The 16,817-nt window shown below is 42.6% G+C and overlaps 1 protein-coding gene across 27 annotated transcripts in view; it reads right to left on the bottom strand.

Moving 5' to 3' along the window:
• INPP5F (inositol polyphosphate-5-phosphatase F) overlaps positions 1-16,817 on the bottom strand; it is a 103,098-nt gene that overhangs the window by 63,615 nt on the left and 22,666 nt on the right. For 22 of the 27 annotated variants that reach the window (NM_001441001.1, NM_001441010.1, NM_001441013.1 and 19 more), the window contains one exon: positions 14,377-14,457. The exons of 1 other annotated variant lie outside the window; for it this stretch is intronic. In NM_001441001.1, the coding sequence (NP_001427930.1) occupies positions 14,377-14,457 (81 nt within the window). Of the gene's footprint in view, positions 1-7,555; positions 7,642-14,376; positions 14,458-14,590; positions 16,417-16,817 lie in introns of those variants that run through there. 4 more of the 27 variants (NM_001441009.1, NM_001441002.1, NM_001441011.1 and 1 more) reach the window with 3 other exon arrangements.

The raw sequence follows: 16,817 nt of genomic DNA, 5'->3' as shown, positions 1-16,817 counted from the left end.
AGGTATCATGGCGTGCACCTGTAGTCCCAGCTACTCAAGAGGCTGAAGCATGAGAGTCGCTTGAACCTAGGCAGTCGAGGCTGTAGTGAGCTGAGATCACGCCACTTCACTCCAGCCTGTGTGACAAAGCAAGACCCTGTCTCAAAAACAAAAACAATATCCACATACAACTTTTAACACCCCCAAAACTTAACTATGAAAAGCCTACTACTGATTAGAAGCTTAATAACATAAATAGTTGATTAACACATATTTTGTATGCTGTATTATATACTGTATTCTTACAATAAAGTAAGCTAGGCTGGGCACGGTGGCTCACACCTGTAATCCCAGCACTTTGGGAGGCCAAGGCAAGTGGATCACCTGAGGTCAGGGGTTCGAGACCAGCCTGACCAACATAGTGAAACCCCATCTCTACGAAAAACACAAAAGATTAGCTGGGCGTGGTGGTAGGCACCTGTAATCCCACCTACTCGGGAGGTTGAGGCAGGAGAATCGCTTGAATCCAGGAGGCAGAGGTTGCAGTGAGCTGAGATCGTGCCACTGCACTCCAGTCTGGGCGACAAGAGGGAAACTCTGTCTCAAAAAATAAATAAATAAATGAATAAATAAAGTAAGCTAGAGAAAAGAAAATGTTATTAAGAAAACCACAAGGGGCCAGGCGTGGTGGCTCACACCTGTAATCACAGCACTTTGCGAGGCCAAGACAGGCGGATCAGCTGAGGTCAGGAGTTCAAGACCAGCCAACATGGTGAAACTCCATATCTACTAAAAATACAAAAAATTAGCCAGGCATGGTGGCGCATGCCTGAAATCCCAGCTACTTGGGAGGCTGAGGTAGGAGAATCGCTTGAACCCGGGAGGCGGAGGTTGCAGTGAGCCGAGGTCGCACCACTGCACTCCGGCCTAGGCAACAACAGCGGAACTCCATCTCAAAAAAAAAAAAAAAGAAAACCATAAGGAAGAGAAAATGTATTTACTACTCATTAAGTGGAAGTGGGTCATTATAAAGGTCTTCATCCTTATCTTCATGTTAAGTAAGCTGAGGAAGAGGAAGGATGAGAACGGGTTGGTCTTGAGGTCTCAGGGGTGGCAGAGGCAAAAGAAAATACACTATACATGAACCCACACAGTTTAAACTTGTGTTGTCCAAGGGTCAACTGTGTGTGTTTGTGTGTGTGTGTGTGTGCACACGCCTGTGTATGCAAGCACATGCGCGCGTATACACTATTGGTTCTGGAAAGCCCTAATCGAGATTTTGGTACCAAGCAGCAGGGGTGCTGCTATAACAAACATCTAAAGATGTGGAAGCAGCTTTGGAACCAGGTAATGGGTAGAGGCTGAAAGAGTTTGGAGGTGCATACTATTAGAAAAAGCCTACACTGCCCTGTGTGAACCTTTAAAGGTGATTCTGGTGAGGACTCAGAAAGAAGAGAGATGAGCTGTAGAAAAAGCCTCAATCTTCTCAGAGAATTCCTAAGTAATCCTGAGCAGAATGTCAGTAGAAAACATGAACCGTGAAGAGCATTCTGATGAAGTCTCAGATGAAAATAAGGAACGTGTTATTGGACAATATGGAGATGATCCTGGTTATAAAGTGGCAAAGAACTTGGTTGAAATTTGTGCATGTTCTAGTATTTTGTGGAAGGGAGGACTTAAGAGTGAAATTGGATATTTACCTGAGGCAATTTCTAAGCAAAATGTCAAAGATGAAGTTTGCCTCCTCCTGCCTGATTATAGTAAAATGCGAGAAGAGAGCTATGACTTAAAGACAGAGTTGTTAAGCAAAAATGAAGTAGAACTTAAAGATTTGAAAAGTTCTAGCCAGACTATGGAAATTTTTAAAAAGGCCCGTTCAGGGGAAAACACTACAGGTGTGCCCAAGTCCCTCTGATAAGGAGAGTAATATGGGTGTGAACCATGGACTTAAGCCACTTCAGCAGGAGAACAGCCAGTGTGAGATGAAAGGGAATGAACTGGGAAGGAATGAAGGATGGCTATCAGTCTTCCTGGGTTTTACAGGCCAGGACCATAGAGCTTTTTGGCAGAGAATGTGCACTATTCTTCAAGACAAAGGCAGAACAAGCCCAAAGGTGATTAAGAGATCATCAGGGCTGCTTCCTTGGTTTCAAAAGGGGTAGGCAGGGACTGCATTATTCAACAGGCAAGATGGTCTCTGCCAGATGCCGTGAGGATAGGAACAACCAGCAGGGCCCTAGGGGCACAACCCTTCCTGGGTAGAGCCGTGGAGGCAGGGCCCCCACCTCAGCAGGTCTGGAAGGTAGAACCTCTACCGCAGTGGGCCTGAAGTGCAGAACATGGACTCAGTGAAGATTATTCTCGAGCCTTAAGATCTCAAGGAGTTTGTCTTATAGTTTGGACTTACTAGGGCTCCACTGCCTCTTTCTTCTTTCCTATTTCTCTTTTGAAAATGGAAATGTCTAGCCCAAGTCTGTCCCACCATTGTATTTTCTAAGTACATAACTTGTATGGTTTCACAGGTTTGCAGCTGAAGAGCAATTTGCCTCAGGATGAATCATATCTTGAGTCTCACCCACATCTGAGTTAGATGATATTTAAACGAGACTTCGGATTTTTTACTTTAAGAGTTGATGGTGGAATGAGTTAAGAGTTTAAGAATGTTGGGATTATAATGAATGTATTTTGCATATGAGAAGAGCATACATTTAGGGGGACAGGGCAAAATATTATAAGCTAAATGTTTATGTGCCCACAAATTCATACAGTCACCCCTCAGTAACTGCAGGGGATTGATTCTAGAACCCCCTATAGATACCAAAATCCTCAAATGTTCAAGTCCCTTATGTAAAATGGCATAGTATTAATATTTCCATATACCTATACACATCCTCCTGTATACTTTAAATCATCTCTAGATTACTTATAATACCTAATGCAATATAAATGCTGTTTATAGTTGTTAATATTATTTTTATTGGGTTTTTCTCCTGAATATTGTCCATCTGCAGATGTGGAACCTACAGATAGGGAGGACCGTGACTGTATGTTGAAATCCTAATCCCCCATATTATGGTATTGGGAGGTGGGGCCTTTGGTAGATGATGAGGTTATTAGGGCTACATCATCACAAATGGGATTAGTGCCCTTATAAAAGAGACCCAGGAGAGCTCCCTCACGCCTCCTGCCATGTGAGGACTCAGTGAGAAGAGGCCATCCATGAATAAAAGGCAGCCCCTCACCAGACATCAAATCTTCTGGGGCTTTGATCTTAGGCTGTCCAGCCTCCAGAGCCATCAGAAATACATTTCTGTTGTTTACAAGCCACCCAGTCCATGACATTCTGTTACAGCAGCCCAAACAGACAAAGAACTATTATACACAGTTGACCCTTGAACAACACAAGTTTGAACTGCAAGGGTCCACTTACATGGAGATTTTTTCCAATCAAATGCAGATTGAAAAATACAGTATTCGTGGAACGAGAAACCCACATAAACAGAGAGCCAACTTTTCATATACGGAGGTTCTACGGGGCCAACTTCGAGACTTGAGCATGCATGGATTTTGGTATACGTGGGTGGTCCTGGAACCAATCCCTCCTCTTCATACCAAGGGACAACTGAACTATGATATTAACATGCTAAGAGAAACAAATAATTAGGAAAATATCTTAATAGTTTATTCCAAGGCATATTATGCTCCAATTATGCTCCAATTTTATTTACAAATCTTTGGTATGAATGTAAATTGAGTCCTAAGTGTGCATAAAACCTACTTCATTGGTATCTGCTGCAGAAGCTATTAATTGGCTATTTAGCACTTTTAAGTGAACAGAACGTGAGTCTATAAAGTAGGTTTTATGCACATTTATGCATGAATTTAAATTTCAACTAAAAATATGAATTCACAGTATGTTTAGTGAATTTTTCTGTTTTACATTTAAAGCCATGTCTTAAAAAAAAAAAAAAACTACATTAAGAGAAATGTTTTGTCCCCCCTAATGGAAGTAGAGCACCATATATCCCTGATTATATTTCAGGGAACAACACACATCAAGTAAATGGAAAAACAAGTAATGCTACCACCACGCCAGTGCTGGTTTGTTCAACGTCAGGTACCTAATAGCTAAAAGTACATCACATTAGGCTTCTAATGCTCTCAGTGACTAAAGAGCCAACTATTAATTTGTTCATCTTCCAAACATAGCAGCTATTCCATGTTTCCTGACTGGTTGCTCTGTTCCTTACTAAAGTTTCCTAAGTCTCGGTTTATAGAAAACTGACAATGACTCATAGGGAGAGCATCTAGAGCAAGAGACATTTTTAATAGGCTCTATTTCAAAAGTACCAAATGGTGCAATTAGAAGTATATTCTGCTTAGCCTGTAAAGCTTAAGACTGTAGTTAAATCCCTAAATAAATCTGCCATAAAATGAAATAACCTTGAAATAATCTATTATACTCTAAAAAAATATAAACTCTTGTAACTATAAGAAATAGAAAAGACTTAGAAAACTAGAAAAGTCTAAATTATTAAGTACTGTTGGGCAAAATGATTTTCTATATAAAAATGTATTTTTCAGACAACTACAGCTTATCCCCCTAAAGTACTAAAATGTTTTCCTATATGTTTATTGAAAGCTTCAATACTTTCCTAGCCACTAAACTCCAGCATACTAAAGACAATCAGGATTTTTACTCACAATACAAGTTAATCATCATAAAGATAAATTAATGCTTTGAAAAGTGACATAAAAATGCTTCAAGGCTGGAGGTTATTGGTCCGTACACAAAGGGAATCAAGCCCACGGGCTGTAACAGACCTGCTATCCAAGTCAATTAAATAACCTTCATTTTTTGCTGTCAATGGTTGTTACTGGCCAAGCCTAAGTGAGAACTTAACAAATTTATCGAGAATCTCCTTTCTTAAACACAATTAGCTTTGACAATAATTTGACTGGAATTACTTTTAAATGTTCAGTAAGATAAAAAGTCCAAAAGGTAATACAAAGGAGGAAATAAATACAGAAAGCACCTGTATAGGTGGCCCACACAGTCATTTTTACCTTAATAATCCTCCTTTTCTTATTTTTATTCTTTAAGAGACAGGGTCTCACTAGGTTGCCCAGGCTGGAGTGCAGTGTCTATTCACAGGCATGATCATAGCACACTGTAGCCTCGAGCTCCTGGCCTCAAGCAGTCCTTCTTCCTTCAGCCTCCCAAGTAGCTGGGACTACAGGCACGCGCCACTGCACCCAGCTTTCCTCCCCTCTTTCTGAGGCTAGAAAACAAACCTTTAATATGGCTGCTACTGAAATCACTGAAGAAAACTGGAGTTTAAGAACAAATGGGTTTATGACTAGAAAAAGGAATGAGAGTGGAATAGCATGAGGCACGCTAGCCTGCCTCTCAAGTATCTCTCTGCCTGAAAACATAAATATCTGCCATGCCACTTAGAGATATGCTCAGGAATAAGAAGCATACTTGTGTAACCACACTCTGGGGAGCTCAGAACTGTGGGTCGCATTCATGTGACTTCTTCAAGCATCACTTCTACCCGGGAGGTGGAACCATCTGCACCAAGGAGACGGGCTCAAGACTAGGAACAAGGGAGGTGGGAAATTCTGAAGCACAAAATGTAGCAACAAGCTGAGGGGAGCAAAGAGAGAAGGACGAAGCACTCAGCATCTAGGTACCTGAGGAGAGAAGAAAAGGAACAGGAGAGAAGCAAAAACAAAACCAATGAGAAGATACCGGAGAATGTAATCCTCTCACACCACTTAGCTGCCTGCTTCCAAGACTCAAGTCTGTTAAGAGAATGGGTCAGCTAAATTATAGTTAAAGAATCTTCTAAGGGTTAACCAGGAATCTGGTCACCAATGAAAATCTTACTTCTAGGCCAGGCGTGGTGACTCATGCCTGTAATCCCAGGACTTTGGGAGGCCGAGGCAGGTAGATCACTTGAGGCCAGAAGTTCGAGACCAGCCTGGCCAACATGATGAAACCCTGTCTCTACTAAAAATAAAAAAATTAGCCACCTTAGGGTGAGGCACAAGAATCGCTTAAACCAAGGAGGCAGAGGTTGCAGTGAGCCAAGATTGTGCCACTGCACTCCAGCCTGGGCTACAAGAGCAAGACTCTGTCTCAAAAAAAAAAAGTAAATCTTACCTCTAAAAGTCAGTAACTCTGAGATCCTCATGAGAAAATGAACATAAAAATGACTGTATCTGAGGCTGGGCACAGTGCTCATGCCTGTGTAATCCCAGCACTTTGAAAGGCCAAGGCAGGTAGACTGCTTGAGCCCAGGAGTTCAAGACCAGCCTGAGCAACACGGCAAAACCCTGTCTCTATTAAAAAATACAAAAATTAGCTGGGCACGGTGGTACGTGCCTGTATATACACAGGCAAACTCATATCTAAGCAGAAGCAATAACTAAAAGGCTTGTCCCATGACCCAGCCTCCAGCAGAGGATGAGAGCTCCACAGGGACCCTGTCAGACCCTCTTGTTTCTCTCCAATGTACTTAAGGAGTGGGGTTTCCAGTGGCTTTTAAGGCATGCACTAAAACAATGCTAGTGACACTCCATTTACCACTAAAATATGTAAAATATTTCATGTCACTAGTGCCATAGCAAAGTCTCCATAGACAGAAGACTAAAATCAGTATTAAAATCATATGCATAACACACTTTACCATCTTAATGACTGAGACATCGTCACCACTACAAAAGTGGAGGAACAGCAGATGGCGAGTATTATTTTAATGAATGAGATTTACTTGAGTGAATTTTTGTCTAGGATTGTTCAGTACTATCAGTAGTAATTCAGTTAATTACTAAACAAAGAGCCTCTATTGCCACATTAATCAAGGCTCCTGACAATTTTCTCTTCAAACTAGTCCTGAATATATCGTGGGATATATTCCTTTACTAATGAATCTTTTTGCTTATCTTCAGATACTTCTTACCCTAATTGAGCTTATCCTCTTCTCAATCTTGAAAATACATTTTAACTTGAAGAGCTTTTGTGATCTATTTTAAATCTCCAGCCTAAAGCAGTCTTTTCCTGGATGTCTGTGTGAAGATATGACTATACCCAGACATTACACAGAAAATGAAGAGAAGAAACACATCAATCATGTGGGCCTTTTGCACAGCTGCGTACTCTGCCAAGAACCGGGCCTTTTGCACAGCTGCATACTCCGCCAAGAACTACCTCTCCTCTCAAGGCCTCCCCGCTCCCACCCCTGGCCCTGTCCGTGTGAGATGCTTTCCATCCAGGAGCACCAGCTCCACCCATATGAGATGCTTTCCATCCAGGAGCACCAGCTCCACCCAGTTAGGCTCTTCTGTCATACACACCACAGCACCCCACACTTGTCTTCAGATGATTACATTTTTAATGGTAAAACTGTGTGACTAGTAATTAACATCTATCACTCAGATTCTGAGTCTAGGTTTCTACAAGCTTCGACCTGCAGCCCCAGCTTGTTCAACCTACAGCCCCAGCACTGAGTACAGGCCATGGGACACAGTAGGTACTCCATAGATACTTGTTAAATCCATAAGTACTCACTGAATATTTCTGAATTGCCCTGCAGTGGGCCAGCACACAGAGACACAGCAGGTAAGCAGAATAGACATGGCCCCAGTTGCTGTCTTCTTGGAGGTTATTTCCATGAGAAGACAGACAAAAAAGAAAAAGAAAAAATTAATATGTAATTACAATTGTGATATGAAATTGACTACCATTCTTTTTTTTTGAGATGGAGTCTCACTCTGTCACCCAGGCTGGAGTGCAGTGGCAAGATCTCAGCTCACTGCAGCATCCACCTCCCGGGTTCAAGCAATTCTCATGCCTCAGCCTCCCGAGTGGCTGGGATTACAGGCGCATGCCACAGTGTCCAGCTAATTTTTGTATTTTTAGTAGAGATGGGGTTTCACCATGTGGTCAGGCTGGTCTCAAATTCCTGACCTCAAGTGACCTACCTGCCTCAGCCTCCCAAAGTGCTAGGATTACAGGTGTGAGCCACCACATGCCCGGCCTTGACTACCATTTTTATTTCCTCCTGGATACTACAATGAATTTTTTTAATGTTGATTTTTCACAGATCTATACTTTTCTTTCACCTATTTGATGCATTACACATCCCTCCTACTTTCTGTTCCTCATATTAATAAATCTCGGTCGGGCATGGTGGCTCATGCCTGTAATCCCAGCACTTTGGGAGGCTGAGGCAGGCCGATCACCTGAGGTCAGGAGTTCGAGACCAGTCTGGCCAACATGGGGAAATCCACTAAAATTACAAAAATAAGCCAGGCATGGTGACGCATGCCTGTAATCCCAGCTACTCAGGAGGCTGAGGCAGGAGAATCGCTTGAACCCAGGAGGCTGAGGTTGCAGTAAGCCAAGATTGTGCCACTGCACTCCAGCCTGGGCGACAGAACAAAACTCTGTCTCAAAAATAAATAAATAAATAAATAAAGTAAAGAAATCTCAACTGGTCAAACCAAAGTCAGACACGTTTGAGTTGTCGGAAGACAGACTACATTACACCCTGGCTGAAATCCACCTGCCTGCAAATGTCTGAGGAAGAGGTCTTGCAACCCAAAAATAGGCTAATGGTTCTAAATAGATATTTTCTAGGCATTAGGGCAAATAGAACCTTTTTTTTTTTTTTTTTTTTTGTGGCAGAGCTTGCTAAAAGGGCAGGCAATCATCAACAAAGGATAACACGCACAGAAATAGTTTGAAATTCTTCTATCATATATTTTTTAAAAGAAATGTGTGGATTACAAAATAACTTTCACTAACGCTACTAATGTGTTGTTACCAAAAACATTACTTTTTATACATTTTCACAATGTAGTCTTTTAGTGACTTGTTCTATTTTTTTGTTTTGTTTTGTTTTGTTTTTTTGACAGAGTCTTGCTCTGTAGCCCAGGCTGGAGTGCAGTGGTGCGATCTTGGCTCACTGCAACATCTACCTCCTGGGTTCAAGCGATTATCCTGCCTCAACCTCCCGGGTAGGTGGGATTACAGGTGCCCGCCACCACACCCAGCTAATTTTTGTATTTTTAGTTGAGAGGGGGTTTCACCATGTTAGCCAGGCTTGTCTCGAACTCCTGACCTCAAGCAATCCACCCGCCTCGACCTCCCAAAGTGCTGGGATTACAGGCGTGAGTCACCATGTCGGGCCTGTGACTTGTTCTTATTACAGTTTCAGCAAAAACTAACATTAGAAAAATAGTCCATGTTTAAAATTTGTTCAAAATTGTGTAGCCACAATCTAAGTGGTTCTTGAGTAGAATATCTGATATCTATGAGGATCTTTAAGAGGGAAAAAAAATAGTAATCAGCATATATTGAATTTTTGTTTTGTTTTGTTTGTTTTCTTGAGACAGAGTCTTGCTCTGTCACCCAGGCTGGAGTGCAGTGGTGCGATCCTGGCTTACTGCAACCTCTGCCTCCTGGGCTCAAGCAATTCTCCTGCCTCAGCCTCCCGAGTAGCTGGGATTACAGGTGTGTGCCACCACACCTGGCTAATTTTTGTATTTCTAGTAGATATGGGGTTTCACCATGTTGGTCAGGCTGGCCTCGAACTCCTGACCTCATGATCTGCCCACCTCAGCCTCCCAAAGTGCTAGGATTACAGGCGTGAGCCACCACGCCTGGCTGAAATGCTTATTATTACCAAGAACTCACTTTATGTGAGTTTTATTAAATCTTCGCAATAACTGTGTCAAGGAACCATGAGCTTTGTCTTATAGATGGCAACTGAGGCTTAAATGAGGTCACCTGATTCGAGGCAATTGTGTGATCTTTCAGAATTAGTCCACATCTGGAGTGGGTTCCTAGCCAACGATACTTGAGGACTGGCCTATCACACTGAAATGAGCACAAGCAGCAGGAAACAGAAACACCAGACTAGAAGGAATTCTTTTTGACATGCTTTTGTAATGAAGCATTTTGGTGGACATTATGTTCCGTTATGGGCTAAACTGTTTCCCCTTAAAATTCATATGCTGAAGTCCTAACTCCCAGGACCTCAGAATATGATTATATTTAGAGACAGGGTCTTCGAAGGGGGTAATTAGGTTAAAGTGAGTTTATTTGAGTGGGCCTTAATCCAAAATGACTGATGTCATTACAAGATGAGGAAATTTAGACAGACACACACAGTTACAGAGGGAAGACCACGTGAAGACACAAGGGGATGGTGGCCATGTACAAGCCTAGGACAGAGGCTTCGGGAGGAACCAACCCAGCCAACACCTTGATTTCAGACTTCTGTGTTCCAGAATTGTGAGAAAATATGATTCTGTTGTTTAAGCCACCCAGCTGGTGGCACTTTGCTATGACAGCAAACTAATACAGTTCCTAAGTCACGAGCACTTGCTCATTCCACAGAGCTCAGAGTTCAGTGACAGTCAGGAACAGCGGCATTGCTCACCCACGCCACTTTAAGACTGTCAATGACATCTGTTCAAATAAATTTATGTTCCCATCTCCCTAGGTGAGAAGAAAAATTTGTGCATTAATATGTGGAGAATAAGTAGGAGGGAAACAGGAGAGAGTTTCAGTATAGACATTTTATTCCCCTCATCCCCTATCCTCCAAAGATAAGATGTTCCTGGGGAAAATGCCCCTGAAGTAATTTTCTCAATTCTTTCTCACACACAGCAGGCACATACCTCCCTTCTAGCCAATCTGACCCAGGGCAAGAGCTTTAATCGGGGGCAGGGAGAGGAGAGGAGGAGGCATCCCTGAGGACAGATGAGGAGAGTAAGTAAGGTGGGTGCTCACAGGCAAGGGGCTGGGGGCAGAGTGACATGGAGAGGGTTGGGAGGGAGGGAAAAGCAGCAGGGGCCCAGAAAAGTGTTTCCCTTTGCTTCCTCCCGACTCTTTTTCTTAAGAGCCAAACCGTTCAAGTGACGTGACAAGAAGAAGGAAAAAAAATGTCCAAGGATTAGGAGAATGAAAAATTAAGAGAATTTCCCTGCCCTTTTTTCCTTTTTTATACTTTCTTTCTCCAGTTCACTCTACCCTCCACCTCTCCCTTCTTTCAAAATATCCTACATCACAGGTATTCTCACTGCCTATCAATCACCTATTTTGGGACCAAAGAATGGCAAGGAGGAGAAGTACATATAAAGGGGGCTGACCACAGATGACCATACCTTCACCGCCTCCTAAATGACCATACTTTGACTGTATCGTAAACTCATCAACCATTAACAAACTTACATTTGTACATTATTTGTAGGAGACAGCTTCTGGGCTGTCTGCCAAGTCCAAACCCTCCTGCTCTGCCTCCCACCTAGGGGACTGGGACTCTGGAGCACGGTCTGATCTACGTGACCCTGGCCAGGAGTCCCCTGGCCCAAGATGGGCAAATAAGTCTCTTACCTAGAAGTCTAACGTGGACTCACTACTCAATCTTTTTTAACTGCTTGTCAGTTTCCAGTTATTACAGGGAATATCAGATGTCAGCTGGCTTGAGGCTAAGGGTGTCATTTTAAAGGCAGAAATTTTAACCTACATACACACAAACAGAGAAAGCCAAAAAGAGAGAAGAATAAAAGAGACATAGAGGGAGAGGCAGTTTGTCAGAGACCAGCTGCCCCAATAAAGTAATCCTGGGTCCTGTACAACATCCATTTCTTTCTTGTTTTTGGTCCCTTGGGTTCTTCATTAAAAAGTGTGTTTTTTTGCCTAAGCTGATAGGTTTGTATTTGCAACCAAAGAGCCTTGATAAAATAGTGATTTACAATTTACTAAGCACTTGCAGGTACAATAATCTCATTCGGGACTCACAGTACCCTATGGAAATGAAGAGACCAGTTTCTTTTACCTTGTGTAACAACTTAAGACATACAGGCCCTTGAACACTGGTAGCTGCCTTCTCAGCACCCAGCCACTACCCTGAAAGGACGTCCAGGTTATCCAGGAGAGAGAGGAGGACTCAAGACAGGCATTGTGAGATGAGAGACATGGAGAGAGGGGCCAGGTGAAGGAGAACTAAGACCACCCAGGCAAACTCCTGGTGAATGTTGCTACGTGAATGACCCCAGCCAACACAACAGACAAGAGCAGAGCTGCTCTGTCAACCCATAGAATCATGAGAAAGTATACACTGTTGTTGTTTTAAGCCATTAACTTTTGGGACTGGCTTGTTACATAACAAGAGATACATGAAACAGATGTTAGGCAGCTTCTCCTATATCTCAAAGCTAAATAAATACAGCTTGTCTTCAGGTCTCCTAACTGATTGCAGTGATTTATTCACTGTGCTAAGATGTGACTGAAAATGAGAAAAATAACTCAAAAGTTTCATACGTGTCATTTAAATAATAGAAAACGAATTTTAGCTCAGAACACCCAGCTGTGAAATTATCCTGTCAGCATGTAAATGAATTAAAAATATATGTAGGTAAATGTGGACAGGTAGGAGACTGTTATTAAAATACTTGGTTACATGGTTACTCAACGACTAAGTGCTTTTCTCCTCTGTGTTGAAAGAATTTTTTTAAAAACCTACCAAATACAGAATATACAACAATGCTCATAGCAGTATTAGTTCTAATAGCAAAAAAAAAAGAAAGAAAAAAAAAGAAACAACTCAATTACCCAGTGAGAGGAAAAAGGACAAATCACAATATATTCATAAACAGTGAAAATAAGGAACTACAGTTTCATGCATGGATAAATCTCAAAAATATAAATAAAAATAAGTGAAAGAACAAAAACAACTTAATATCATTTATATAAAATCCCCAAAATACAACCCTTAGCAACATCTTTAGGAATACCTATATAATAAAAGCAAAAACGAAAACCAAGGGAATACAAAATTCAAAATAGCAGGTTCCTTTAAGGGGAAGGAAATTGGAAACATTTGGGAAAAGGCACAGAGATGGCTCCAAACACATTGGTCATATTTCATTTCTTTTTTTTTTTTTTTTTTGAGATGGAGTTTTACTCCTGTTGCCCAGGCTGGAGTGCAATGGCGCAATCTCGGCTCACTGCAACCACCATCTCCCAGGTTCAAGCGATTCTCCTGCCTCAGCCTCCCGAATAGCTGGGATTACAGGCATGCGCCACCATGCCCAGATAATTTTGGTATTTTTAGTAGAGACAGGGTTTCTCCATGTTGGTCAGGCCAGTCTCAAACTCCCGACCTCAGATGATCCACCTGCCTCGGCCTCCCAAAGTTCTGGAATTACAGGCATGAGTCACTGCGCCTGGCCCATATTTCATTTCTTAACCTAGGTGGTAGATACATGCGTGTATTTTAAAACAACCTTACCGCACATCTGCGATAAACAGCTTTTTGAATTTGTAAAATATTTCATGATAAAAACACACTTCTAAAAACAACCAAAGAATCTAGCAAAGGAAAATTAGATTTTCCAGATATACGTGCTTATTTCTAATACACAAAAATCAATCTAGCTCCCAAATGCTTAATATTATTTTTAAATAAAAAGGACACACTATAAAGATATATACTCACAATTATACAGAAATAATGGCAAAGCCTCCTATAATTCATAACTCATCAAAATTGATACCAAAGGAAAAATATTTATTTAAATGTAGTGCTTAAAATATTTCATTTAGGCCAGGCATGGTGGCTCATGCCTGTAATCCCAGGACTTTGGGAGCCCAGGGCAGGGGAACTGCTGGAGGCCAGGAGTTTGAGACCAGTCTGGGCAACGTAGCAAGAACCCATCTCTAATTTTAAAAAGCTCCCTGAAGGGTAAGGCACCAAAAAAGAAAAAATAAAATTTCATTTGGCCCCTTTCAGTTAGCCTTTTGGGACCCACCTGTATAATACCTGTTATACTTTCCCACCAACAAAATTCCCTTTAAACTGAGGACACAGGTGCCTGTCATTCCAAGTGAGGGCCTGGTGAGTGACCTGGACTTCCCATCAATCTGCCTGTCCTGGATAGGGATCCCTGACAGGACCACACTGTGTGCTAAGAGACCCATACTCGTCTCTGGCAGAGCTGACTGCATCAGGAACAGTCAGCTGACATAAAGCCAACCAGTCATGGTCTGCCACCTGCCTGCCTCTCCAGCTTTATTCCTACTACTCTCCTTTGAGATCAATGCATTTGCTATATCTTTCCCTCATGGCACCTTCCACAATTCCAAATAATCATACGTTTATTTCCATGATTACTCTTTGATACCTGTCTTTCCTCCTAAACTGTAAGCTCCATAAGAGTAGAAACAGGTCTTCGCTCATTATACACCCACTTTGAGCAGACCCAAAATTAAAACAAAGGAATCAAAGCTATAAGAGAATCTCATGTATCCTCAAAGAGGAAAACACCAAAAAATGCTACAATAAATTTGACAAGTTTAAGGAGTTTATAGAAACATACCTGAATGAAGTTGAATTTTCCCAATAACACCTTCTACCAACCCCAAACAAATGGGATTCCAGGCAAGAAGTAGATCAGTAGCTAAAATAAAATAGGAAGCAGTGATGAGAAAACATTCACCAGAAAATATATTAAAACAGTATCTTTAGCAGTGTATTGAAAAAAAATCAATGTCCCAAAAAAGCAGTATGAATATCCAAATGGAATACATTACCATAAAGCAATTTGTGACAAAGTATTAAATGTGAGGCCTGAATAAGGCTTGGGATACAATAAGGCTTCGGACAGTTAAGGGGAAAGCAGTAACATTCAGAAAACTCTTCCCAGATAGGAAGCAGTACCTTGGCGCCCTACAGTGGAGGAACAGGGCCATTACACTACAAGAGGACAAACGGAGGAGCTGCGTGTGGTCCTACAGCACAGGATCCAAAGACAGGGCCTAAGAAATTGCCACAGAGCTGTCCACTTACTGGATCACACTCTGGAAAATACATTTTCCCGAAGATGCTTATACCAAACAAAGAAATCCGGAAAGCAACTGCTCTTTTATCTGACTTCCAGGACAAATACAATAGGAACTGTTTCCGTTTGAGTGCCTTCTACGTGCCAGGCATCTCAATCAGGGTTCCTCATCTAAACCACAGAACAGTGATTTGTTTTGGGTGACAGTTTTCTCACTTCTTCCATATGAGAAATTAGATGACACAAGCTGGTTCCATTCTAGACACACAAGAGAGAAGCAAATTCATTACATGCAACGGATGCCTAAGGACAGGGTTTATTCTCTTGTGTGGCCCAGATTGCAAAAGGTTATATACGTGGTAATAAACGTAACATTTGTGGTAGTTCGACAGGTGAAGATTATCAAGAATGAAAACAATATTTGTCTTGGCAGAAAATTAAAATTACATTTTCATTATTATCATTTACAATTTATTTTAGTGAAACTTACACTCAATCTGTAACTCACAGAGTAATTATACACTTAATAGTTTAGCCTCCAAATTCATTTGAGTTTTGACTATTGCATCTTGAATGTCTTTGTTATGATACATTCAATGGAAGGCAAAAAAAGTTGACTTGTTTTTGGCTGGACGTGGTGGCTCATGCCTGTAATCCCAGCACTTTGGGAGGCTGGGGAGGGTAGATCGCCTGAGGTCAGGAGTTCGAGACCAGCTGGCCCACATGGTGAAACCTCATCTCTACAAAAATTAGCCAGGCATGGTGGCACGCGCCTGTAGTCCCAGCTACTCAGGAGGCTGAGGCAGGAGAATCACTTGAACCTAGGAGGTGAAGGTTGCAGCGAGCCAAGATCGCACCACGGCACTCCAGCCCAGGCAACAGTGCGATACTGTTTTTATTGCAAGAATTAAAGCAAAATAAGAAATTTATTTTTTAAAGGCTATTATAATACATTATCATTTCTAATCTTGACAACTCTGAGTTAAGTTTAAGGAGTCTCACTTTACAGATGAGGAAACAAATGCTGAGAAAAGTAAAACATGGTCAGGTCATACAATGGATCGGATCAAGGCTGCTACCAAAAACCAGGTCAGCCTGACGCTTAGCCCCTGCTCTAAACCTTTCTGTTACAGTGTCCCCTTCAGAAATTATACGTGGAACTAATCAGTAAGGCAGTGATTTTTAAATAACATGTACTATAAAATCAAAGAAAAAAAATCATCACCTATCCCACCACCCAGAGACAACTTCTTCAGCTACATTTCAGGGCATTTGTTTGTATACATACCAAACTGCAGCGCTAATAAATAAGCATTATTGATGGCAGCCGCAGCCTGTCTGGATGCATCCGGGGAGGCGCGGCCAGGGCTGCGCCCTCCATGGAGCCAGCAGGGCAGAAAACAAGCGGGAGCGCTGCCCCCTACCAAGTTGGCGGGGCTCCTGGCACAGCTGCAGCCAGCAGAGGCTCCAGACCTGGGCATTCCTGTACTCTCAGCTACCCGGGAAGACCCTCTTTCCCCACAGGCTCGGAAGTGCCTGCTCCCACTCCCTGGCCTCTCTCCCTGCTCCCAGCACCTGCTCTGGTGCAGAGCAAGTTGTGGCCGAGCCTGGGGACCGTCACGACCGAGTCGGGTGTGCACAGGCTTGGACACTGCTGTCACACCAGCTCCCTGCCGCCTCAGCCCCCTCTGGACTTCGGGTGCCGATAAGCGTGGGAGAGAGGCCAGCAGGGGTGAGGGCAGCTCCAAGTGGGCCTGCAGGCACCCCTCAGCCCAAACAGCCTGGGCAGTGGAGGGAGACAGACACAGGTTCCTGTCCAGAAAGGGGCAGATCACAGGTAAAACCCCACCTTCAAGCCAGGGACAACCTGAAGCCTGGGGTCTGAGCTGCAGGTTCCGGGTGGAGTCCGTGAGCTGGAGTAAGAACTCAGGGTGCTTTCTCCAGGCCGTCCGTGGCCTCCCATGGACCAATCAGCACAC

This window comes from Homo sapiens, chromosome 10 (genome assembly GCF_000001405.40).
Source record: "Homo sapiens chromosome 10, GRCh38.p14 Primary Assembly".
NCBI lineage: Eukaryota > Metazoa > Chordata > Mammalia > Primates > Hominidae > Homo > Homo sapiens.
The sequence above is the reverse complement of the archived record's forward strand: the minus strand, read 5'-3'. Positions and strand labels throughout refer to the sequence as shown.